Raw genomic sequence first — 25,043 nt, forward strand, 5'->3', positions numbered from 1 at the left:
GGCCACTCCTGTCATCCCTGCTCTGTCCTCCCTGCAAACTCCTCCCTCAGGACCCTGCTTGAAGTTACGTCCTGCACAGTCATCCCTGGCCTTCCCTCAGCAGAATCTGTCACTCCCTCAAGGTGTCCCTGCAGTATTCTGCTCATGCCCCTGCTACGTGGCAGAACTCTGTTGTCCTATCCTGTCCAGAGCTCCAAAGCCCCCAGACCCTGTGGCTGCTGAGCACTTGAACCATGGACAGTCCAGGTGAGGATGTGCGGGGAGAGATGCCTCCTGCCTGTGGCTGAGCCCTGCCTGAAGGAGCTGATGAGGAAAAGCTCCTAAGCACAACAGTGCTGCTCACCTGGGCATCTAGTTGGCAGAGTCCTATCCCAGTGTTCGCACCCCCAGTTTCCTGGGTCTTAAGTTCAGATTATCAAGTGCTCCTCCTGCAAAAAAAAAAAAAATGGTGATTCTTGTGGCCCTTAGTTGACCCCGCACCTGGGATATGCTTATATTTGGTGTGGGGCAGAGAACTGAGTGTTCTTGAACCACTTCCACCCAACCAGAGGGAGGTGGGGACATCAGGTACACCTCATCCCCTGATGTCACAGCCAAGTACCTGGAGCCACCAGGACTCCCTCTGAGCCCACAAAGGAGTGTCTTCTCACCACCCCGATTATACTGGTCTAGTTATGCTTTGGAGTTAAAGCCAGGCTGCTATTGCAGGGCTGCTGCAATCCTTGCAAGCACAGTTGTTCTTTGCTTGCGCTTGCTCTCGCTCTCGCTCTCACTCTCACTCTTGCTCGCTCTCTTTCTCTCTCTCTGACTTCAGTTTAACTTTTTAAACTTCAGTAATAAGTGTTCCTCAAAATAGATGGTCTTCCTGGTTGTAGGTACAGCCAGCAGGGTTGAGTTCTGCTGCCTTCCAGCATGGTTTTCCTGGGGCCTGTAAAAGTCCTGCAAATTTGCTCTGACACTCTGTTGACATGGAGGTCCTGTTTGTTGTTATAAATAAGGACCAGTGTCTCTAGGACACACCTTACTGTGTATAACTGAATGGCAGATTTTGTCCCTTACTTCTTAAAAATTAAATGGCAGAGGAGCTGGCCATGTAAAAGCCCTGTGTGTGTTTACCAAAAAGTACTTGAATTTTGTTTGGGTTTTGTGTTCTGGTGCATATGAAGTGAATTTTGGTAGGAGTATGTGCATTCAGAGAATATGTCATCACACTTTTTTCTTTATTTGAGTGCCACTTGGCTCTTATTTGATTAAGGTAATTTCAGTGACATATTTTGAAGCAATTCACCTTGAAAGGCAGAGGCACCACCCAGGTGCAGAAACCTTCCTTGGGTTATGCAACGCCCAGCGTGGGTGGAACCGCACTCACACTTTACCTCTTCCTGAACCACAGCCCTGCTCTGATTGCATGATGGAAGCTGAGGTGCCTGACAAGTGGAAGGAGGAAAAGGAACATTCTGCCTTCCTTTTCTCTGTAATGCCAAAGCTGGCGTCATGCATTACTGAGGGCCTCTGTCAGCACTGGGGCCGGCCAGTGGCACAGCTGATGGGGTAGCTGCACTCGCTAGTCCTCTGGGAAAGCCCAGGTTGTTTTTCTGGCTTAGTGTTAGAGGCAGCTGTGATGTTTACCTCGATCTGTAACATACAAAGATCTGATCATATGCTGTCTTTGCTTACATTCTATTATTGTCTGACTTATGTTCTAAATTCTCTACAATTCCCTTCCATTTGTCTTAAGAAACTCTAAACCTTTTTTTTTTTGGAAATCACTACTTAATGATTTTGAGGATGGAACCCCAGACAGTTGGTAATAGTGGATGGTTTTCCTTTTCTGTAGTTGAGTGGCTTTCTAATTCTTTTGATGGCACACAAAAAGAAATTAACCTTAGATCACAACTTAGTACACACATTTATGTATGCATGTAACTGAGATGAGTTCCTCAAAATAGCACATACCTGTGTTTTATGTGAGGCACTGATATTTTCTGTTCTATATTATGCTTAACTTTAAAAAATACTTCCTGTGTACCATTTGTGGGACTGTAACTCACAACTTAAAAAATATTACCTTGATACATAGCTCCAGAAATACACATGGGTCATTTTACCAAGAATCACCAGTGCTTTTGCTCTGTTACCCCGGCTGGAGTTTGGTGGCACGATCATAGCTCCTTGCACCCTCAACCCCCTGGGCTCCCAGCTGGGGGTCTTTAGGACCCCAGCGTGACCTGTGGGTAGCCCTTACTTCCTTTAATACTTTTCTTCTGCACAGTCAGGTGCTCTCCCTTTGAGCTTCCGTGTGAAGTTCACTGTGCACCCAGCTCTGCTACCACCGCCTCTGTCTTGAAAGGAATAGGGTGGGGTGGTCATTGGTGTATAGTAAGATTCGAATCACATCCTTCAAGTACAGTTCTACCCTAAAGATAAGAGTCCCTGTGGTTTTTGTTGTTGTTGTTGTTGTTGTTGTTTGAATGGATGTGTTCTTTGAGAAATTGAGTCTTGAGTATTTTGTGAGGACATCTAAGCCTGGCGTCCACGTCAGTGCTGACAGATTTGACCTAGTGTGCACTCCCATCTGGGGAAATGCCCATAGGCTATAATCTCTTTCACTGGAGCGATTATAATAGCCCCCGGGCTTCAGGTCCCAGTGGCATCCACCCTTGGTGGCAGCATACCCCTCTGCATGAACAGGGCGCCCACTTGTCCCCTCCTTCTTACTTAGTAGTGATTTTTAAATGGGAGGGTGGCAGTCCTGAATGTAGTTCATCAGTATTTACCGCACAAGCTCTAAAGGACACAGTGTTTTATTTGTGTATTTATTTAACTTTTCCAATATCGGAATATGAATTTTTGTTTCACCTGATAGGACACGTTTCAGGGGCTCCATTCTACATTGTCATTTCACAGGAAAAATATTTGATGGCTCATTAGAAGGGAACATCTATTATTTTGTTACTGAAAGGCACATTTTCAACCTTGAGAATTGGATGGCAGGTAATGGCATGGAAATTGACAGCATTTTACCACTTAAAAATAACCACAAGAAATACCAATGTTCACCGAATGAGTTGAAGTTAATTTGGTTTTGTAGGCTATTGTAGTTAACTTGATGCTTGATGGAAATAATTTTGTATTGGAAATCATTAAAAATTGATTTGATTAATGCTTTTATAATGTTGGTATGAGGTGTTGCACTGTGGTGGTGATGACCTAAGGGTGCTGTGATGGCCTCAAACGTTGTCCCTCCGGGGCCCACAGGCAGGATCCCACACACTAGCACACCTCCCAGTTCCTCTTACCATCAAACAGAGGTGTTCCTTCAACATGCCTGCTCCTCCCTGTGGCATAAAGGCACCAGGAGGTTCTCTGATCCCCTGTTAGATCTCCTCTGCAGGGTTGAAGACATTTTTTGTTTGTTTGTTTGTTTGTTTTTGAGATGGAGTCTTGCCCTGTCTCCCAGACTGGAGTGCAAGTGACATGATCTCAACTCACTGCAACCTCCGCCTCCCGGGTTCAAGCGATTCTCCTGCCTCAACCTCCCAAGTAGCTGGGACTACAGGCATGAGCCACCAAGCCCAGCTAATTTTGTGTTTTTAGTAGAGATGGGATTTCGCCATATTGGCCGGGGTGATCTCGAACTCCTGACCTCAAGTGATCTGCCCGCCTCAGCCTTCCAAAGTGCTTAGATTACAGGCGTGAGCCACCGTACCTGGCCATTTTTGTTTTTAATCGGTGTAGTGTCCCTAACCTAAATATTTCACATGGCCTGAACTTTCTGTAGTTTTAGCAGCAATGGGATGCTTTGAAACCTAGATCTCTCACCAACTACATCTTCCATTGACTGGTGAAACACTAGTTTAAGCCAATTCATTTTGACCATGTGCATTTTTGTGCTTGATCCCTATTTTATTTCAAAAATAATTTCCATCTCTATTCATGTAAACTAATAAGAGCCTTCCGTTTCCTTTAATGGCAAATTGTCTCATCTTTTACTGTTTTAAAACATTTTTTTAACATCATGAGAAAACGTGATAAAAGGTATAAGTGTAGTTTCCTGGCTTTTGCAGTACCTCAGGGAATTCGGTAAACTGTATTCCATTTGAGGAAAGGAACGGTTGGAGTAGGAGGTAGTGTAAAGATAACATAGCAAATAAGCATTTTACCAGAACCCTCTGAAGTCTCATCAGACTGTGCCATCATCAGAATCCCTCCCTTCTCATCTACACCGTTTAAAGCCAGCATCCAGTCAGAAGCCCAGAGCTGGTACCGCCTTGCTTTCCTGCCAGTTGCTGACATATGGCACACAGTGTCAGTTAAGGGCACAGGCTGATGGGCAGCTTGGCCACATACCTCTCTGGCTTCCTATCTGTAAAATGGGCACAATCATTGTACCTGCCTCTGAAGGTTGTTGCGAGAACTAGACGCAGCCTTGGCACAGAGCCCACAGAGAGTGAGCACTGTGTAAAGACTGGCTGCCAGCCATTAGTACTGGGTGCCTGTCTTTTGGTGTCTGGGCAAAGCTTTAACCTGTTTTATCAGTTTAGAACTCAGATGTCTCCCTGGCAAAACAACACGGGCATATAGATATTTTGTGAAGTTTTGTTGAAGTGCACTTAGGTTAATGATTCATGGGCAGCCTTTCAAAGCTATCAGGCTGTGAAACAGCTTTGAATAAGATTGTCTTGTCCTTCTGCTGATTGTCTTTTCCTTCCCACATTAGCAGCCATAGCAGGAGGAGGAGAGGTGGCAAGTGGCCACACTACTCTGCTCACATTAAGCAGACAATTTATGGTCAATATTCAGTGAATTTCTTTTTTTTATAGTACAGTTAACTGATATTTATATTAGCTTTAAAATTATAGCAAAATCAGGCCAGGCATGGTGACTCACACCTGTAATCCTAGCACTTTGGGAGGTCGAGGAGGGCAGATCGTTGGAGGTCAGATGTTCGAGACCAGCCTGGCCAACGTGGTGAAACCCCATCTCTGCTAAAAATACAAAAATTAGCTGGGCGTGGTGGTGTGTGCCTGTAGTCCCAATTACTCAGTAGGCTGAGGCAGGAGAATCGCTTTAACCCAGGAGGCGGAGGTTGCAGTGAGCTGAGATTGCACCACTGTACTCCAGCCTGGGCGACAGAGCAAGAGACTCTGTCTCAAAAAAAAAAAAAAATAGTGAAATCAGCCAAATAGAGAACTAACAGGCACACTGCCTAATTCCTTGTGTAACTGTCATTGGTGTGAGTCACTGGGGCAGCGTGATTAGGTCTGTGAGCTGGATAGCAAGGCTGTCATTATTCTCAAGGCCTTCTGCTGACTGCTGCTCTTGGTAAGACATACAGAATCTGTGGGCACCTCCTCTTACCGCTCTATGCTAGATGAGGCGTCTCCACGTTGAGTTGTAGTAGATACAGCTAAGAAAGTAAAAGAAATGAAAATCTCATCAAAAGGATTGGGGCTAGTCTCATTCTTCATGCATACCCAAACCGTGGTAACTTTGATTTTTTTATTATCCAGAATGGATTGTTTAGAGGAGACAGATGGCTTTCCAGTTCATCAAATTTTTTCAATTATCTAAAAGGAATTCCTACGCTTGGAGCAAGTCATTTCAATAAATCTCATTCATATTTACCTGCTGCTTCCTTTTAAATGGAAGAAGAGAATGTTTTTCAAGTACACTTGAAAAATAGCATATGTGAATTAGAAACTTCCTCTGTAAACTAGCAGAGTAGAAATAAGAGGCCAGGATTCAGCACCAGGTAGGCTGGATTCCTTCTTAGGTGGCTCAAGCTGGCTATGGGGCTGGTCTCATCATATCTAAAGAACTGCCCAGCTTTTACGCATTTTGAATGTGGTGGAACCAGCTGCATCTTTTTATATGAGAGCGGCAAATAGTCATTGTGTTCCAGTTTGCTTCTCGGGTCATCTAAACATCAGAGGCCATGCCACAAGCACCGTAACTGAGGGATATAGTGTGACTGTGGTCCAGGCCAGTGACCTCTGGAGCTGAATCATGACTTCCCAGATGACTCCCAGAGCCTGAGAGGGGACTGGTGCGTGGCTCCAAATGATTTTCACCTGGGCCTCTTTGAAGTCGGGAGAGATACGTGCAGTATGGTAGATGTGGAGAGGGAGAGGCATGGTGTGTCCAAAAATTAGCAGGACCTGATCCATATACGTGGACTCTGAAGCAGTGCACTTACTAGATTAAAAAAAAAACAATGTACTTACTGGATTTAAAAAGTGTGTATTTTTTTGTGAGATGCAGTTTGTAAGATGCATTGGTAACTAGGCCATATACTTTTTCCATTGGCTCTCAGCTCTCAAGAAGCTCTTTAGTTTTTAGCATTGGATCAGTAAACACTTATTAAAATGTTCCCAGCATTTGTTTGCCATCTTCTCTTTCAGCTGGGCCCAGCTGTGCCCTCAAACCCTGCCTGTCTCTTCCCTGACTGATCATGTTCTCCCAGCTTCTACAGAGGCTTCCATAGCATTGTGCTTGGTAGCAGACACCAGACAGAATCTCAGCCAGCTCAGTCCAGGCGCACGGGCTCCTGGTCTCCCGGGGTGTGGTTACTCGTGTCTCCTCGGGGCCTTCCGCCCTCCACATTCCAGTGCCAGGCCCTGGACCTTTGTCTCTATTCATGATAAAACATTTTTAGGAAATGCTGACGCTCAGTGAAGAAATGGAAACACTAACTCTTTGTTCTCTTCCTAACAGACACGAGACGACTTCCTGGGCCAGGTGGACGTGCCCCTTAGTCACCTTCCGGTAAGGACAGTCTCATGTTTGATGCTTCGTGCTGGGGGCGGGGGTTTCTAATTGTTTGTAGTCAGTGTATTTTCAGAGTGGCATTTCTTCACCACGGTGAAGAAGGCTGAAATGAAGCACGTGTGCTGTGGCCTTAGTCCTTTCTGGAAAGTGGTCCTTTCAAGGGGATGGAGGAGAAGCTGGCTGTAAGAGTAGTCAAGGGTGCCTGAGTCGTGCGCTTGCGTTCCCATCCACCAGCTCCCTCTCTTTTCTGCACTTCAGCTGCTCCACCTTTGTGTATCACATCTTACAAAACAGACACCTCCTTCACTCAGGCCTCCCTTCTTGTCACTTACTGTCTCTGCTTCCTAATGCATCCTCCGGGTCCCATCAGATGTTTGCACTCTTTGTCTGGAACCGCACATGCCATTTCTCTTGGATTCCTGTACACAAACTATAATAGCATTTCCCAGATTTTGGTGTCTGGCTTTCTCAGTCAGCATGGTGACAAAAGAAGAGCCTGTTCATTCTGAGTGAACTTGTCAGCTGGGAACACCCACCCTCGCTGGAACACGCACTGAGTTAGCATGTGTGGTGCTGCCATTTCTCTCTGCTCAAAGTAGCGGAGCAGTCGAGGCTGTTGACTAGTGACGGGCATTAGGGCTGACACCCGAAACAGGAGGCAGGGCAGACAGAATGTGTAGGTAGGACCTGGAGGCCTTGAGAAAGGTGGATCCCCATCTCCTATTCCAGCTTCAGTTTTCCGGCTTGTCCCAGCCTTCCTCCTGGCCTTCTTCCCTGGGCAGCACAACGACGTGATAGAAGTAGCAGCTGAGAGAGGAAAGGCGAATGTTTCTGCCTTACAAGGGCATTGTGTTATTTTTTTAAATGCTTTGTGTGAGCAAATAGCATAAATAGTCTATAAAGTAAAGTGACTTTACTTTATTTACTTTATTTAAAGCTATTTAAAGCTAGCATAAGCTTCCTGCTGTGTGGAAATTATGGCTGTTTCCATATGTTAAATACCAAGTAAGCTTTGAAGATGTGTTGTGAAGGAAGGTGATAGCAAGTAATTTACTCTTACTCACTCAGGGGAGCTGTTAAGGAAGAAAGTCGCAAGGTTCCAAAGGACTGGAAGTGAAAGTGATATTCTTAAAATATCTTGTTTGTTTCTTTTTAAAACTCTGAAGCTCCAGGGTGCCACGGGAGGGGCCTGCCCAGGGCTTCTGCGTGAGAACTACTCCATGAGCCATCAGAAACCTGACTGCTCTTCTCAGGTCACGTTGGGAGGATGTGACTATTTCACCTTTTGTGAGCAAAGACCTCGCATCCTTCTACGTTGGGAGGTCTTCTGTGTATGTTCTTCAGACTGAAGCTGCGATCCTCTCACACTTTTAGACAGTGTTGGTTGATGGGCCAGCTCTTTTATGGACGTCTCCAGCCACCCTTTCCCTAATGTAAAAACCACATCTTGGCCAGGGGAAATTATTTTCTGAGAGGCAAATATTCTAATATTTGGTAAGAGGCAAAAGTGACATGTTTAAAAACCTTGCTCTGACAAGCTCTTTTTTGAGTGAGTGAGCAGCACCTGGTCTTGAAAGGTTGAGTAGGGCTCCCAGAAAATAGAAAAAGGTTCCTCCTCCGAGGCCAAGTCAGTATAAAGAATAGTTTAGCTTTGGATTCTGAGTGGAGGCAGGGTCAGTGAGCCTTCAAAGAAGGAAGCGGTGCAGAGGCACAGGGCAGGAATAGAAGCCAGCCGATTGCAGAGGGTAGAGCCGTGAACGCCCAGAGAGGACCGAGTGCCCCTAGTTACTCGTGTGCCCAGAGGGTAACTTGCAGTGGCGTGCTTCACCTCCATACTTCAAACTGACTAGCTGTTCACAGCCAACTATAGTCAGAGAGATGGACCACAAAGAAAACAAAAGGAGAGGCGTGAAGGTATATTCTTTATTCATGTGGCAGTAGAACCCAAGTTGCGTGTTCTGAATGCACGTGGCTTTTGAATCCAGGATTTCAGGTGCTTTCGTGTGTATGTTTGGTCGTGTGTATAGGATGCTCATGGGGAAATTACAGTGGCATTCTGTTTGTGTGATAGCACACAGGTATGAGTGTGGAGAGGGCGGGAGCATATGCGTGTATTTTGTGGATCGAATTATGGATGCTGTGTTCTTGATTAGTATATGACCATTGTCAAGGTGGATTATTAACAGTCTGTAGATTCAAAATTTGTCAAAACCACCAAGCTTTAGATAAAAGGAAATAGACCAGGCACAGTGGCTCATGCCTGTAACCCCAGCACTTTTGGAGGCCGAGGCAGGAGGATCGCTTGAGTCCAGGAGTTAAAGACCAGCCTTGGCAACATGGCAAGACCCTGTCTCTATAGAGAAACTTAAAGATTAACCCAGCATGGTGGCACATGCCTGTTGCCTCAACTGTTTAGAAGGCTGAGGTGGGAGGATCGCTTGAGCATGGGAGGTCATTACTACGCTGAGCCGTGGTTGTACCACTGCGCTCCAGCCTTGGAGACAGAGCAAGCTCTCCTTTTGCTTTTACATTCAGAGACCAAGAGCAAACTTAGCTGTAACTGTACCATCATTGACTTTTCAACTGCCGTTTTCACATTTGTCTGTTAAATTCAGTGCATCGTTGTCTAAAAATTCATATGATATTTGATAACTTGAATCTATTAATTATTTAGCGATAAAGAGAACTCTGAGATCTGTATTAACAGAGTGAGATTTCTGGCAGGTGTCTGCCTGTTGCACCTTCCTCTTGACTTGTCAGCTCTGTCTCCCCTTCCCCTGGAGCCCTCAGTAACCCACCTTTGCCCAGCCACAAAATCTCTTCGTCCCTGGGAAAGGCAGTGGGGCAGAGAGAGCTATTTTAAAACATTAAGTTTTCCTAAATCCCAGTCATGTGCCACTTAAGACAACCATGGCTGACTCTGGAATTTAAATTTTCCTAGATGAGGCATTTTCAGGGTGGTGGTATTATTTGATGCCCTGCCTGTACTTGGAGGTAGCTCAGCTGACCAACATCCTTTTACCCCTTTTGTGTTTATGGCTGATGGCTGGTAGCAGGTAGCAGGCTGATGGTTCCCTCTCATGAGTGCAGAATTCAAAATCATGGAGTTTGGAGGGACTTCAGAGACACTGATTCACTCCCAGTATTTTCCAGGTGAAAAAGCCTGGGCCCAGAGAGGGAGGGGACTTGCCCAGCAATAAGCAGGTCATTGGTGGTGCTGGATCTGACCCTGGCTCTCCAGCATCATTGTGAGCCTGTGATGTGGTCAAGGGTGTGGGCATGGGGTGGATTCGCCCAAGGCTTAGGTGCTTGCAGTGGTTGCATACAAGTTTCGAGTCTAGGGACCCAGCAGGGCCCTCTCCTTCCATTTGCCTGCAGAATCCTTTATCTCACTCTATTCCATAGTGAATGCACCTAGGCTGAAAGCAACTACTCTCTTTCAAGATGAAAGTACTGAGTATCCAGATTTTCTTCTGAATGCTTTTACCCTGGAACGGGGGCAGCATTGTGGCTATTGTGGCTAATAGCACTGTTTGCAGCAGTGTGTTTAAGATGGCTTTCCACCAGGAGCACCCTCAAAGCCATCCTGGGAGGCTCCACTCAGCTCTGCTCCAGGGAACAGGATCAGATTGGAACCTGGATGAATGCCAAGAAGAATCTTGTAGTTATCTATAAGATCATCTTCTAATTCAGGCTAGAGAATTTCAATGAACGTGAACTTTGATTTTAATGCCCTACCTGTTACTGCTTGGCATTGAGTTGGCAGTACTGACAAATGATATGAACGTGTAGAATTGGCCAATGAACATGGCTAGTGTTTGTTGAGTGTGCCAGGTGCCCTTGAGAACTTTATAGAAACCAACTCAGTTGATTGGTTTGATCCTCACAACAGCCCTGTAAGTTATGGTTACTGCCCCATTTTATAGATGAGGACACTGAGGCCAAGAGAGATAAGGAACTTGCCCTTAGCCACTTGGCTCTGTAAGTAACAAAGCCAGGATGCAAACCTAGGAGATCTGCCTTTTGACCTGTGTGATATCAGTCATTTAAGCTGCATAGGGTATGGACAGACTCAGGTTCAGAGTCCCTCTAAGCTCCGTGGTTTTCCCTCTTCACTCTCTTGCATGTTCTCTGCTGCTCCTAGATTGCTCATGCCCACTGGTGATCCTGTAGGCTTTGTCATACTGTTTGATTTCCTATGTTTAAACTGTCCTTTCTCCCTGTTCTCTACCTCTCAAAGCCTTCCCATCACCCTGTATTGTATTGAACTCCACATCCAAAACCATTTTGATTTCCAAGTCAGAGTCCGTCTGTTCCCTGTACCCCAAGTCTCACAGAATGTAACCTCTCTGTGTCAGTGAATTTGTTCTGCCTTAGCTTCTAGTGGATTGTTGACATGATGGCTCTTCCCTTGTAATTGTAACCATAAGGACTGCTATACCATGTTGTATCCACATGTCGTTGACATAATATTGCTCTCAAATTATTTGTTGGTTGGCAGGGCATGGTGGCTTATACCTGTAATCCCAGCACTTTGGGAGGCCAAGGCAGGAGGACGTCTTGAGCTCAGGAGTTTGAGACCAGCCTGGGCAACATAGGAAGACCCCCATGTCTATAAAAAATAAAAATATTAGCCAGGCATAGTGGCACACACCTGTGGTCCCAGCTACTTGGGAGGCTGAGGTGGGAGGATCACTTGAGCCCAGGAAGTTGAGGCTGCAGTGAGCTATGATTGTGCCCCTATACTCCAGCCTGGACAGCAGAAGACCCTGTCTCTAAATTAAATAAATAAATGTTGGTTTAATAAATGAAAAAAGGAAGGAAAACCAGCAATAGTTTTCTTAATAAATTATCCATTTATTTCCTTATATATATTTACAAACCTTTTGGTAGAAAATATTTTCAAAATGTATGTTTATTACTGCCTCATAAGAACAGTCTAGAAAATATAATTTACTTCATTCAATGATAGTGAATTTTGAGAGCCTCCATAGTTTACTACAGATCAGATGAATTGAGTGCTTACGTGAGTACCTACTTGGTGCCAGGCAATGTTCTTGGCACCGGTGATCCAATGGTGAGCAAATTCAAGTCTCTGTTCTCATGGGCTTACATTCTGGAAGTGATGGATAATAAACTAGTATGTCAACAAATGAACAGGTACTTTCAGAAAGTGATATGAGGAAGATACAGCAGGACGATAGGATGGGGGGTGATAAGGGTGGCTGATGGTGGGAACTCTAAAGGATGAGACCTGGGATCTCACACTTGGATGGCAAAGTGGAAACAGCCATGCCATCCAGAGTCAGCTGTCCAGCAGAGGGACCTGCCTGTGCATGGGCCCTACTGCAGTACATATAATCTGCATCCATGGCAGATGAGGACAGGATGGTTGGGAGTACAAGGAAGGAAGAGAGAGACTGGTTCCCAATGAGGTTAAAGTTGATTCAAGGCCAGATTATAGTTGGTCTTCTAAGTCATAGGAAAGAATTTTCAGTTTATTATGAGAGGAGTAGGAACCCATTGAGAGTTTAAAGCAGAGAATGACATAAACAGATAACATTTCAAATAGCAGTGCATACGTACATACATGTGTGTGCATGCACGCGCACACAAACCTGATACAGTAAATCACTGGACTGGTTTATCTCTTGCTATAAAAGTATTTGAAATTGTGTTTAATTGAAGGGTCTAGGTATTTGAGGTTTTACTGAATATATAGTATTTAAAGATTAATGAAATAGTCACACTTATTTATCCAATTTCCTGCTTTGGTAGGAACTTCACAATGAACTTCACACAATCAAATGAACACTGATTTCTTTAAAAATGAACAAATACTCCACTTGTACTCATAGCTTCATGAACTGAACCTCAGCAGAAGGTTGATCGGTGCTGCTTCCTGGGGTGATCTCTGTGCAGGAGATAGTCTTTCAATTCTCTTAGGCTGATGTTGTGAGATTTTAATACAAAAAACAAAGTTTCCCTCAAAGATTAAATCTTGTATATTCTTCTGTTTACTCCACCCATATGTGTCTCGAGTCACAGGCATATAGCAAGGCACTGGTGACCGCTGGTTCTCCGAAGTGAATCAGCTCTGTGAGACTGAGGCCACACCCTGCAGTTAGAAATTTTACTTGGCAATGACAGCTGTAATTTTGTCATTTGTCTGTGGCTGGGGCTGGCTCCTAAAACCCGGTGTGGATAGTGACATCTAGTGGATCTCTAGTAGATCAGTTCCGTGGACTGTCAGGTACCAAGTGAAGAAACACATTCAGCGGTGCCACATTCTAAAATTCAAAATATATTCTCTGTAATCCAGTTGCCTGTATCTAAAACATGAAATTATTAGGAATATTAAAATTTAATTTACTGTTTTTTCCCCACAGACAGAAGATCCAACCATGGAGCGACCCTATACATTTAAGGACTTTCTCCTCAGACCAAGAAGGTGAGGCTTGTGGGTATGGGTGGGTGGGGATGCCTGCCCTGCATGCTGTAGGTATAGGTGGGGATGCCTGCCCTGCGTGCTGTGGATATGGGTGGGTGGGGATGTCTGCCTTGCTTGCTGTGGTGTGGGTGGGTGGGGATGCCTGCCCTGCATGCTGTGGGGATGCCTGCCCTGCGTGCTGTGGGTATAGGTGGGGATGCCTGCCTTGCGTGCTGTGGATATGGGTGGGTGGGGATGCCTGCCTTGCATGCTGTGGGTGTAGGTGGGGATGCCTGCCTTGCGTGCTGTGGATATGGGTGGGTGGGGAGGCCTGCCTTGCATGCTGTGGGTATAGGTGGGGATGCCTGCCTTGCGTGCTGTGGATATGGGTGGGTGGGGATGCCTGCCCTGCGTGCCGTGGGTGTGGGTGGGTGGGGATGCCTGCCCTGCATGCTGTGGGTATGGGTGGGTGGGGATGCCTGCCCTGCGTGCCGTGGGTGTGGGTGGGTGGGGATGCCTGCCCTGCGTGCTGTGGGTATAGGTGGGGATGCCTGCCCTGTGTGCTGTGGGTATGGGTGGGTGGGGATGCCTGCCCTGTGTGCTGTGGGTATGGGTGGGTGGGGATGCCTGCCCTGTGTGCTGTGGGTATGGGTGGGTGGGGATGCCTGCCCTGCGTGCTGTGGTGGTTGGCTTTTGCTGAAGACGATTTTAAGTGTCCTTTGAAGTCACAACCCTTCTAACCAATTTTCTTCCATTATGTGTGCAGTCATAAGTCTCGAGTTAAGGGATTTTTGCGATTGAAAATGGCCTATATGCCAAAAAATGGAGGTCAAGATGAAGAAAACAGTGACCAGAGGGATGACATGGAGGTACGTGGAGGGCGTCAGGCCTCTCTCCTTGCCTTGAGATCATATTCATGTTTTGCTTTCAAACTTTATAATTGAAGGAAATAAAAGTTTAGAAAGCTTAAATATAAAAAAAAGTACATATGTCCGCAAATTGGTCATTGATAGTCTACCAGTGCAGTTATTTGTTTTGGTTAAAGATGAACTTTTTATGTTACAACACCAATCCTCGGAGAGATTTCTCTTTAGACAATGCCATGCCTATTCCCCAATTTTAGCCCCACAGCTCTGTGAAAGTCTCCTCACACATTGAATCCTATTATTGCTATGGACTTGCAACTCTTTGTAAATTCTTTTTAGCCATTGAGGTCGCTTCAAAGTGGGTGGAGGAATTTAGAAAATCACTTTTTTTTCAAGTTTCTTACTCATTTGGCCACAGGTGACAGCCTGCAGTAGAAAAACCCTCCTCTAGAAATGCCATTCTGCAACGAGCTGACCAGAGGAATGTCCCTTTTTTCCTTCCTGACAGAGCCGCCTGTATTTACCTTGTCACAGACTGATGCTGTGGGTCCTATCGTACCTTTTCAGCACACACCTCGGCCAGTGCTGTTTTGTTAGGCAAATTCTCATATTCTCAAAGTGTCCATTAAACGAGACCTCTCTAGGGCTTATTCTCACATCTGTTTGCAGCTGTTGCATATATGTGATATGTGAATAATGTGTGTGGAGAAGTTACCCGAACACTCCTCCGCCTGAGAGATCATATTTCCAGGCATTATTTCATTTACAAGCCTTCATCTCTCTATATACATGAAGAGGAATAATGTGGGTGATAGAAATTTATGAATGTTAACATTTCATAAGCATGTCAACAGATTTTCATCTCAAATCCAAGGAATTTTTTACACTCTTCTTGCCTTCCAACCGCAGTAACCAGTGAATTACTTAATTTTCCAGTGATTTTAGCAGAGGATGTTAGGAAGGGAATACGTAATGCCTAAAATACGTGCTGTAAAAATGGAACTCGAATTTTGGTACCATGAAACCCGTTGGTGTGGACACAGCCAGTGTAGAGGGCCTGAGTAGAAGGCAGCAGCTTCCAGACTCCTGGCTCCTGCGGTTGTTTGGGATGCAAAGAGGAGGCTTCTCTCTCAAAGCCCACCTCCCTGGGGAGCAACAGGACTCTGGGCCTCTGGTCCCCTGTGCCATGAGTTCTGTTAGAACACAGGTGCAGCGCAGCTCATCTTCCCTGCTCCCTTTACCTCATAGAGGTGTTGAAAAGATGGCAGCTGTACTGTGACGCACATCATTGGCAGGGCTTTGTACAGCCTTGGAGGCCCTCCAGTCAAAATAACAAACATGACGTATGGAAAGAGTATGATGTGACTTAAGTAGTGTCACCGACTGTGCAGATCCAAATTGTGTTGTCCTGCAATGTAGTCATCTTAGAGGGCAGCACAATTAATTGGCCATTACTCAGAAGATTTTTGAGGCCTTTCTAGAATTGATATATATATATTTTTTTGGCCTTCATTTGGGAATTTACTCAAATGTGGCCCCGAAGCCATGGCTAGAGCCAGAGAGCCCCAGAGCAAGGAGAAGGGCATGCAGGGCATGCTGTGATGACCTCTTACTCACAGCCGAAGAACCAACCTCATAATCGTCCCTTTAACTTTATTCCGCAGCATGGATGGGAAGTTGTTGACTCAAATGACTCGGCTTCTCAGCACCAAGAGGAACTTCCTCCTCCTCCTCTGCCTCCCGGGTGGGAAGAAAAAGTGGACAATTTAGGCCGAACTTACTATGTCAACCACAACAACCGGACCACTCAGTGGCACAGACCAAGCCTGATGTGAGTACCGTGTGATGGTCAGGAACACGTGCACGTGCACTGCACAGCTAGGGACAAATATGGCGGCCCTTTGGGACAAGGCTGGGAAATAAATCATATGTCTATAAGAGCAGATGGTGGTGTGGTACGAGATTCCTCTCCATTTACGTAAAGCATGCAAGAGCAGTCAGAACTTGTATATTGTAAGCGATTGCCTTTGAGTCACATGCTGCTGTTTTCAATATGAGCTGATTTATTTTCTATGTCTTCTTTTATGTCGATTCCTGAAATACAAAGCAGAGGTTGTTTTTCTTAGACTTATTTTACATTTGTTGATTATATTGTTTTCTTCTTCACCTTTCTCTCCCAACTGACCCAGAACAGAACCGGCAAGCAAATTGGCTTTGCAATTTTCTGTTTTCTCTAAGTTTTTGGATGTTTACTCTCTTCAATGCATTGATTTGGAAACCTCAAAAATTTTTTTTTCTTTAAGGAAATTTGAGCCCCTTAATATAATCAGAAACACATGGGAGAGTTGCAAAATCAGAATTAGTAATTACTGTGTATTTTAATCCCTCACCAGCCTCAGGGATGCAGTAAACCAATTCCTGTTTTGTTCCCTCAGCAATTTGTGGTTTGATTGATAGCAAATAAACACTGGTTAAAACTCATGGACTTTAAAAATGGTTTTGTAGCAGCTTGTTTTTAAATCATTTTATACAGCAAGATCTAAGTCTATTGATAATACATCGAAGGGCAAAAAGAAAGTCTTAAGGAAAAGGAATTTTATCCTAGAAATTATGAGCTGCCTAGCAGCCAAGACAAGGAGGAAATTATCAATGAACTATACAACTTTCAGTATGTAATAAAAGCAAGTCTACTGGGTAGTATAATTTTCTTGTCTACTCGAACTCTGAAAGAAAGTGGCTAATGATACATTTTAGACAACAAGCAGTATGAGGTATCATGTTCTTAAAAACCTTTTATCTTTAGAAATTGTAAAGATACTCCACATATGACTGTGGGTGGGGAGGGTGGCCAAGTTTTCTGGTCTAGGTTTTGTTTAATTTAGAGATAAAGCTTGCAGAATCTGGAACAACGAATAGCCTGTCTTCTCTGAGCCCCCAGGTGGGTTCTCGTGAATGTCAGCTGTTCGTGATCAGCTTTAGACTACCCAGCACGGGCATTAGCTCAGGACAGCAAAATGGTCTCAGGACAGCAAAAATATCAGATCAGCTGGGTAATGCTGAACTATCTTTTGTTAAAGTTTTTTCCCATGGAAATAGCTTGGTTGATTCTTTTTGTTTTTTATATTATTGCTTACTATTTCCTTTTGATTAATGCCCATAGCTATTAGAATTATTGTAATCCATTGTAGCTATTTGTAGTAAAAATGAATTTGGACCCACCTTGGGCTTGGTTACATGTAGTGACTAGAAGAATCTTGGTAGCAATATCCTAAGCAAAGCACCATTACCTACCTTTGCTCAACAGCATGAGAAAGGAGTACTGAAAAGGTAGATCCTCATGCGACCTCTGCAGAAAAGTGGCCAGGAGCAACTCACAAAGGAAAAAATCCTGATAGCTAATATGTATATGGAAAAATATTCAACTTCATAAATAAGGATCATGCAGATTAGAGTTTGTATTTTGGGGACAAATAGGGATAATTGCTACTTTCTCTGCCTCACAGAGTTGTGAAACTAACGAGGGAATTCTTGAGAAAACACTTCATACATTTTAAAATATATACTATTTTTTTGATGGCTCCACAGGTGTAGACATGTCCCCACACTCATCAAGAGGTGTACGTTAAACATGAACAGCTTTTTAATGTGTTGATTAGACCTCAATAAAGTGATTTAAAAGAGAAACCATCTTTGGTGGCAGTGTCCCAGAAACTAAAACAAAAGGTATAACTTGCTGGCTCTTCACTAGTCTAGAGCAACAAGGGAAAAATGCAGTTCTTTTTCTGTTGTTGTTTGAGACAGAGTCTCACTCTGTCACCCACAGTGGCACCATCTCGGCTCACTGCAACCTCCGCCTCCCAGGTTCAAGCGATTCTCCTGCCTTGGCCTCCTGAGTAGCTGGGATTACAGGCGCCCGCCGCCATGCCCAGCTAATGTTTGTATTTTTGTGAAGATGGGGTTTCACTGGCTTGGTCAAGCTGGTTTCAAACTCCTGACCTCAGGTGATCCGCCCACCTCAGCCTCCCAAAGTGCTAGGATTACAGGTATGACCCACCACGCCCGGCTGAAAAATGCAGTTCTTAATCCAAGTTCGGGCTCACATGTAGTTTTGGGAGAAGGCAGAGGCATAACTGCCCCATCAAGGAGGCAGCAATGCCAAAGGGAGAGGCTGAGCCAGGAAGGACACAGCAGAACTTGGCAGAACCTGAGGAGCGCCTCCTTCCAATGGGCATAACTTCTAGAAGGCAAGAGGAAAGTTAGTTAAGGAAAAAGAGTTTCCACCACAACCTCTGCTAGCAGGCCCTTTATTGGGATACAGTATAAGTTCATTTCAGAATGTGTGAGAAAACTTTAAAATTTGTGTTTTAGAAAGAGTCTATAATGAGTGTTCTTGATAAGTACTATATTTCAGTTAGTCTGAAATGACGATTTCAACTTTTGAGATACTGACTTGTGACATAATTTTTGTTAATGGGATATGTTATCTTATTGAAAGTATCTGTGAGAGTTTTCCCTGAAAAAATTTTTGGCATTTAAACTTGTACACTAAAAGCCTCTGACTAGTATTTCCCCCAAAGTATGATTGCCTATAATTTACTGCAAAAAAAAAAGTTTTCTTTTTTCTTTTTTTTTTTGTTTTGTTTTGTTTTGAGATGGAGTCTCACTCTGCTGCCCTGGCTAGAGTACAGTGACATGATCTCTCAGCTCACTGCAACCTCTGCCTCCTGGGCTCAAGTGATTCTCCTGCCTCAGCCTCCTGAGTAGCTGGGACTACAGGCACGCATCACCACACTCGGCTAATTTTTGTGTTTTTAGTAGAGGCGGGGTTTTGCCATGTTGGCCAGGTACGTCTTGAGCTCCTGACCTCAAGTGATCCGCCCGCCTTGGCCTCCCAAAGTGCTGGGATTACAGGCATGAGCCACCATGCCCAGCCCAAAAAAGTCTTCCAAATTGAATCAAAACTTTTAGATCCTGAATTGAGAACATCACATGACAAAAAATAGGGTATGATGTTTTGGTGTTCTTCAGACCCCGGCTGACTTGAGAGGTTATCTCCTGATGTTATTAGGATTTTTAAAGTAGGGTAAAGGAGGTAAATGCAGTGTCACGATTTTGAGATTCTGTTAAAATGAGCTAGAAAGCAGCTGAAAAAAATTCATGTTGGATCAGGTGTACTTTCCTCCAGATGACAGCTTTGAATTTGTCCCTTTTGTAGTCTTTGGTCAAATTGCTGGTGACCAGAAGTAGCTGCCTTGTCATTGCTGGACTTCTAGAAGGATTGGGACTGCCCAGCTGCTGTGTGAACTTGCCTGTCACCTCTGCTTCCAGAGGTCTGACTTGTCACTGTGGCAAATGGGCAGAGGACTTTGATTTCTGTTTTTTATTAAACACTGAGGTATATTTTGAAATGTATGCCTGAAAGATGCTCAAAATGGTGTGACTAATGCATTTTAAAACTGCATTTATTTGATTGAAATGAACCTTAACCTATACTTTAGCCGTAATATGGTGGGAGAATTCTCACATTGGATGACCAGCTAGTTGTCAGTGTTTGACGCTGACACTTTAGTGGCCATCTGGCCCTCCGTGAGCATTGAACTGTCATGAAGGGCCCGATCTCAACCACTTCTCTTCTTCTCTTTCCCCCTTTCCTGCATGCTCAGGGACGTGTCCTCGGAGTCGGACAATAACATCAGACAGATCAACCAGGAGGCAGCACACCGGCGCTTCCGCTCCCGCAGGCACATCAGCGAAGACTTGGAGCCCGAGCCCTCGGAGGGCGGGGATGTCCCCGAGGTACGATGTCCCCAGAATGGTGCAAAGCCCGGCAGCTCCTTCTTCCCATGTTCTCCAGCTTGATTTTATATCATAATTTCTTCTGTCAGTAAACATTGTTGAGAATGTAAAGATTACAGTGACGCAGGGAATTAATTACCATCTGAATATTAATTTGAAAGTGCCTATAAAAGCCGTATTTGACAAGTATAGGTGGCTCTATATTATAGAAATGGGAATAACATTATTTTTATTTTTATTTTTTTTGAAGACAGTGTCTTGCTCTGTCGCCCAGGCTAGAGTGCAGTGGTGCAGTCTTGGCTCACTGCAACCTCCGCCTCCTGGGTTCGAGCAATTCTCCTGCCTCAGCCTCCTGAGTAGCTGGGATTACAGGCACGCATCACCACACCCGGCCAGTTTTTGTATTTTTAGTAGAAATGGGGTTTCACCATGTTGGCTAGGATGGTCTCAATCTCCTGACCTCGAGATCCGCCTGCTGCCTCAGCCTCCTAAAGTGCTGGGGTTATAGGTGCATGCCATCACAATGGCTAATTTTTTTTTTTTTTTTTTTTCCTAGTAGAGACGGGTTTCACCATGTTGGCCAGGCTGGTCTTGAACTCTTGACCTCATGATCCACCTGCCTTGGCCTCCCAAAGTGCTTAGATTACAGGCGTGAGCCACTGTGTCCAGCCCACATTATTTTTCAGTATGAAAATCTTAAGATATTTTTAGTTTGTAATTTATTTTTCACAGGGGTCTAACCATGTCTCATTAAATGACAGCTTGTTTTTATCATAGTTGAGCTGTTGAATGAGCCCTGTAACTTGTTTGGGTATCATATGCATATTTTTATTGAGTCGCTTTGACACTTGGAAGAGATTTATTACCATGAAAATATAAATTTAGGTGAACAGAAATGTGTAATTTTCCCTTTAAATAGTTATGGTATGTTACTTAAAACGTTATGAATTAAACAACAAATTAGCCATAATCTTCCATGCTATCTTACCAGCTCTGTTTATGTACTAAAAATCCATTCTTCTTAGACATTGTGTTAGGAAGATCATTTAGAATGCGGCGATTCAACTTGGAAAAGCAAAAGTAATGATTCCATAACACATTCACTCTAAGTTATTTTATACCATTGTTTAATTACAGCGTATAGCTTCTATGCTGCTCCCACGGTGAATCCTCAGTGGTTAAAAGTAAAAGAAAATCCATGACAATTGTTTATAAACTCCAGAGAAGTGTGTGTGTGTGTTTGTTTTTTTGCCCACACATATAGTAACAAGTGCTGGAAATCAGTCACTGTTCAGAGAGGCATTGTTATAAAGTGGTTAAGAGCACAGCCTCTGTCTGGAACCAGGCCTCTTTGATTCACATCATGGCCCTACCACTTGCTAGATGTTACCTTGGGCAGGTTATTTTCTGTGCCTCAGTTTCCTCATCTGTTAATTGGGGGAGTTATCTTCCTCGTGATTATTGTGAAGGTTGTGTGCCTCATGAGAGGCACTTAGTAGGTGTTAATTATAGTTATCACCGGGGCTATTGTTGTTACATGGTTTCATTGGGGAGCTGGGTGGATCCCTACTTCTTTCTAGTGTTTACCCCAGTGTCTCCTTCTCTGAAAGCCTTGGGAGACCATTTCAGAGGAAGTGAATATCGCTGGAGACTCTCTCGGTCTGGCTCTGCCCCCACCACCGGCCTCCCCAGGATCTCGGACCAGCCCTCAGGAGCTGTCAGAGGAACTAAGCAGAAGGCTTCAGATCACTCCAGACTCCAATGGGGAACAGTTCAGCTCTTTGATTGTAAGTAGTGGCCTTGTTTGAAAGAAAAGCTGAGCAATGTTTTATTGTTTTTTGTTGCTTAAGGAGAATCTCTTACGTAAATAGTGACCAAGGGTCTTCCAGCTCCCAGCTAACTCTGACATTTTCCAAAGTTCCTCCTTCCCTAGGAGAAGCAGGACTGTACTAAAATTAGCCCAAGCAGGTGAGAATCTTTCTTGATTTGGAAGGCAGCTTTGCTCACCCTTATACCACTAACACTTTCTTGGTTTATAAAGAACTCAAAGAAGTAAAACTCCATGATGTCTGTAATTATTAGCTTTAACCTTGTAGAATTCCTTTCCCAGCCAAAAGGCTCATGAAAATAGTACCTTTATCACAAAGGTAGTATTTCACAGTAACAATTAAAAGCCATCAGGCCTAATCAGTCCTCTTAAGTCATATTCTGCAGGATTTATCATTCTCATTTCGCTGATAAGGGCACAATGCTTAAGTGGCTCATCCAAGACAAGGTTTGAGTGGGAGATAGAAGACGTCTCCTAAGTCCCAGAGTATGAACCCTTGAGAAATGTTGTGAAATTGTGACACTGTCATCAAGGTAGCATTTTAACTTGGGCTCTCAACCATCAGAAACATACTTTCTAGAAGCTTCAGATGGGCCCAATGCCTGAGCCCAATGGAATCAGTCACAAAGACTTCCATGTTTGACAATACAAAACTGTGCAGAAATAACCCATAGAAAATCCCTGCTTGTGCATAGAATTAAGAGCAAATGAAGTCTCAGTGTTTCTCAAGAAACTGAACTTAAAAATGTACAATAGTAAATGATGATAGTCACTCCACTGAAAATGGCATCCTAAAAAAAAATAGTCATTACTATGACCATAACAAACATAAATGATAGCACTGCATACAATGTAAAAGCAAGTAAGTACTCACAAAATTGTTACTTTTTGGTTATGGTGTTTTTATTTTAAAAGACAGTATACGCCTCTATTACATGAGTTGCATTTATCATTCAGTTAATGTGATTTCACTTTGAAATTCTGTGACTTTTTCAAAAAGAGATGTGTCGCCAAGATGAAAATGTAGTACTAAATGGACAGGATAAAAGAAATTGCATATATATGGGATATTTGAACTGATAAAACTGTTGTTATAGAAACAACATAAACAATGAAGCCTTGTATTTAAAACCTATAAAAGCAAGGAGGTACCACAGAATCCATGGCAGTAACACACCTTTAGTAAACCAAGTAAACACTGTAATTTTTTTCAGCAATAATCATAAGTTAGCAATTCTAATTATTTAAATGAGGAGCTCCTGAATTTAATTATTCTAGATCTGTGAAATATCATTAAGACCCAAATACAATGTTGTATTATTTCACATCGTGTTCACTGTTAAATGAGAGTCAAATCGGATATTTGCTCATTGGGATTACCCTGTATTCAAGGGGAAGAACATGAGCTTTGGCTGGGCACGGTGGCTAATGCTTATAATCCCAGCACTTTGAGAGGCTGAAGCAGGCGGATCACCTGAGGTCAGGAGTTCAAGACCAGCCTGGCCAACATGGTGAAACCCCGTCTCTACTAAAAATGCAAAACTTAGCCGGGTGTGGTGGGGTGCACCTGTAGTTCCAGTTACTCAGGAGGCCAAGGCCCAAAAATTTCTTGAACCCAGGAGGCAGAGGTTGCAGTGAGCCACGATTGCGCCACTGCACTCCAGCCTGAGCAACAGAGTGACACTTTTATTAAAGACTGATTCTTTCACAGTAACCAATGTGGGAAGATGTGAATTGTCCCCCATCCCTACCACAGAGTCTTCTTGTACCATTTACTTATCACAAAATATTAAAAATGAGTAAATACTAGAAACTGATACTATGGATGAACTTGCCGATAAGGAGACTCTGGCTTCTGTGTGTGACCTGCTGCTAATCTTCATTCATATCAATTAGGCTTCATTTAACCACATAGACTAATACAAACAAGTTAGAGGAATATTAAGACACTACACAGTAGATCTTTTTTTTTAGCTTGATCTCACTATTTTTAATCATTCCTGTCTTTACTACTTGAAGTCCACTTAGAAGCTAAAATTGGCTGAGCATGGAGGCTCACACCTGTAATCCCAGTACTTTGGGAGGCCGAGGTGGGTGAATCATCTGAGGTCAGGAGGTCGAGACCAGCCTGACCAATATGGTGAAACCCCATCTCTACTAAAAATACAAAAAATTAGCCAAGTGTGGTGGGGGGGGCTTGTAGTCCCAGCTACTCAGGAGGCTGAGACAGGAGAATCACTGGAACCTGGGAGGCAGAGGTTGCAGTGAACTGAGATCATGCCACTGCACTCCAGCCTGAGCAATAGAACAAGACTCTATATTTAAAAAAAAAAAAAAAAAGCAGCTAAAATTATAAATACCAGATCTTTCAGAAGTAGGCCAAGATGATGTCTGAGCTCCTCTGAATATAGGATGCAACTGACTCTTTTTCAATTGTAGTAATCAATAAATGTTGGGTAGCCACATATCACTATTTCTTCCGTCTATTCACATCACATTAAAATTTACCCTGAGGGTGCATCTTAGAGCAAACTACAAGACTGCTAGCTTCTTTCTGTTTGTAAAGCAGCATTAGAGTGTTGCAGAGTCCTGTTGAGTCTCCTTTCTGAAAGTTTTGGTCTCCTCTTACTTTTGCCACTAATTCTAAGGACCAATCAAAATTCCAGTCTGCTTAACTGAAAATTAAAGTGAAAGATAACTTTTTCAAGGATGACTGTCCTTGCTCTGAAAAGATGTTTCATTTAATTACCTTCTAATATCGAAGAGCGGTGAATATGGTTGAGTGATATGTTTGTTAAACCAATGAAAGTTGCTTTTAAGAATATATTTCTTGATGCTTCCTGTCTTTTCCTCTCCTTCCAGCAAAGAGAACCCTCCTCAAGGTTGAGGTCATGCAGTGTCACCGACGCAGTTGCAGAACAGGGCCATCTACCACCGGTAACCCATGCTAATTTCCAGTCATCAGTTGACTTTTTGGGCTTTCATTTACAATCATCTGGGCTGCTGCAAAAAGAGTTTTTCCTGTGTAAATTTATTTACAATATAAATGAGATGTTTTTAAATTTCCTGGCCAATTGCCCTAGGAAAGTGGATTTCCAATACAGAGAATTGTTACTGCCACCCATCTCTAAAATGCTGGAACCTCCATTGCTTTAGTTTTTCACCCAAATTTATACCAATTTTGATTTGCTCACTTAAACCTCTTGGTACATTAGTTAGTAATTCCTTTTACCTTATTGAGTTACTATAGTTATGCTCCAGTGATCTGTACTTTGAAAACACATTGAGTCCCTTTAACCAGGAAGAACTCTTCTGGGCGACCGTCCACATGTTCCTTTCCCTTCCTAATGAC

At 43.7% G+C, this 25,043-nt stretch overlaps 1 protein-coding gene across 50 annotated transcripts in view, besides 3 other annotated features; it reads left to right on the plus strand.

Annotated features, from left to right (window-relative positions):
• Positions 1-25,043, plus strand: part of NEDD4L (NEDD4 like E3 ubiquitin protein ligase) — a 357,315-nt gene that overhangs the window by 265,039 nt on the left and 67,233 nt on the right. For all 50 annotated transcript variants that reach the window (XM_006722426.5, XM_047437406.1, XM_047437407.1 and 47 more), the window contains 7 exons: positions 6,718-6,768; positions 13,161-13,222; positions 13,968-14,070; positions 15,732-15,898; positions 19,731-19,863; positions 21,474-21,650; positions 24,554-24,628. In XM_006722426.5, coding sequence (XP_006722489.1) covers positions 6,718-6,768; positions 13,161-13,222; positions 13,968-14,070; positions 15,732-15,898; positions 19,731-19,863; positions 21,474-21,650; positions 24,554-24,628 — 768 coding nt within the window. The remainder of the gene's footprint in view (positions 1-6,717; positions 6,769-13,160; positions 13,223-13,967; positions 14,071-15,731; positions 15,899-19,730; positions 19,864-21,473; positions 21,651-24,553; positions 24,629-25,043) is intronic.
• Positions 1,270-1,492: a silencer, noted in NCBI's record as "fragment chr18:55977766-55977988 (GRCh37/hg19 assembly coordinates)". NCBI's record gives its function as "represses an EF-1alpha promoter that drives an FKBP-Casp9 reporter gene in an ReSE screen in K562 erythroleukemia cells {active_cell/tissue: K562}" and the evidence as "EXISTENCE:reporter gene assay evidence [ECO:0000049][PMID:32094911]".
• Positions 1,298-1,397: a silencer, noted in NCBI's record as "silent region_9484". NCBI's record gives its function as "represses an Ori minimal core promoter by ATAC-STARR-seq in GM12878 lymphoblastoid cells {active_cell/tissue: GM12878}" and the evidence as "EXISTENCE:reporter gene assay evidence [ECO:0000049][PMID:35858748]".
• Positions 6,191-7,390: an enhancer, noted in NCBI's record as "CDK7 strongly-dependent group 2 enhancer chr18:55982687-55983886 (GRCh37/hg19 assembly coordinates)". NCBI's record gives its function as "activates an origin of replication core promoter dependent on BRD2, BRD4, P300/CBP, MED14 and CDK7 cofactors, with strong dependence on CDK7, by STARR-seq in HCT116 cells {active_cell/tissue: HCT116}" and the evidence as "EXISTENCE:reporter gene assay evidence [ECO:0000049][PMID:35650434]".

This window comes from Homo sapiens, chromosome 18, assembly GCF_000001405.40.
Source record: "Homo sapiens chromosome 18, GRCh38.p14 Primary Assembly".
In the NCBI taxonomy this organism is placed as follows: Eukaryota; Metazoa; Chordata; class Mammalia; order Primates; family Hominidae; genus Homo; species Homo sapiens.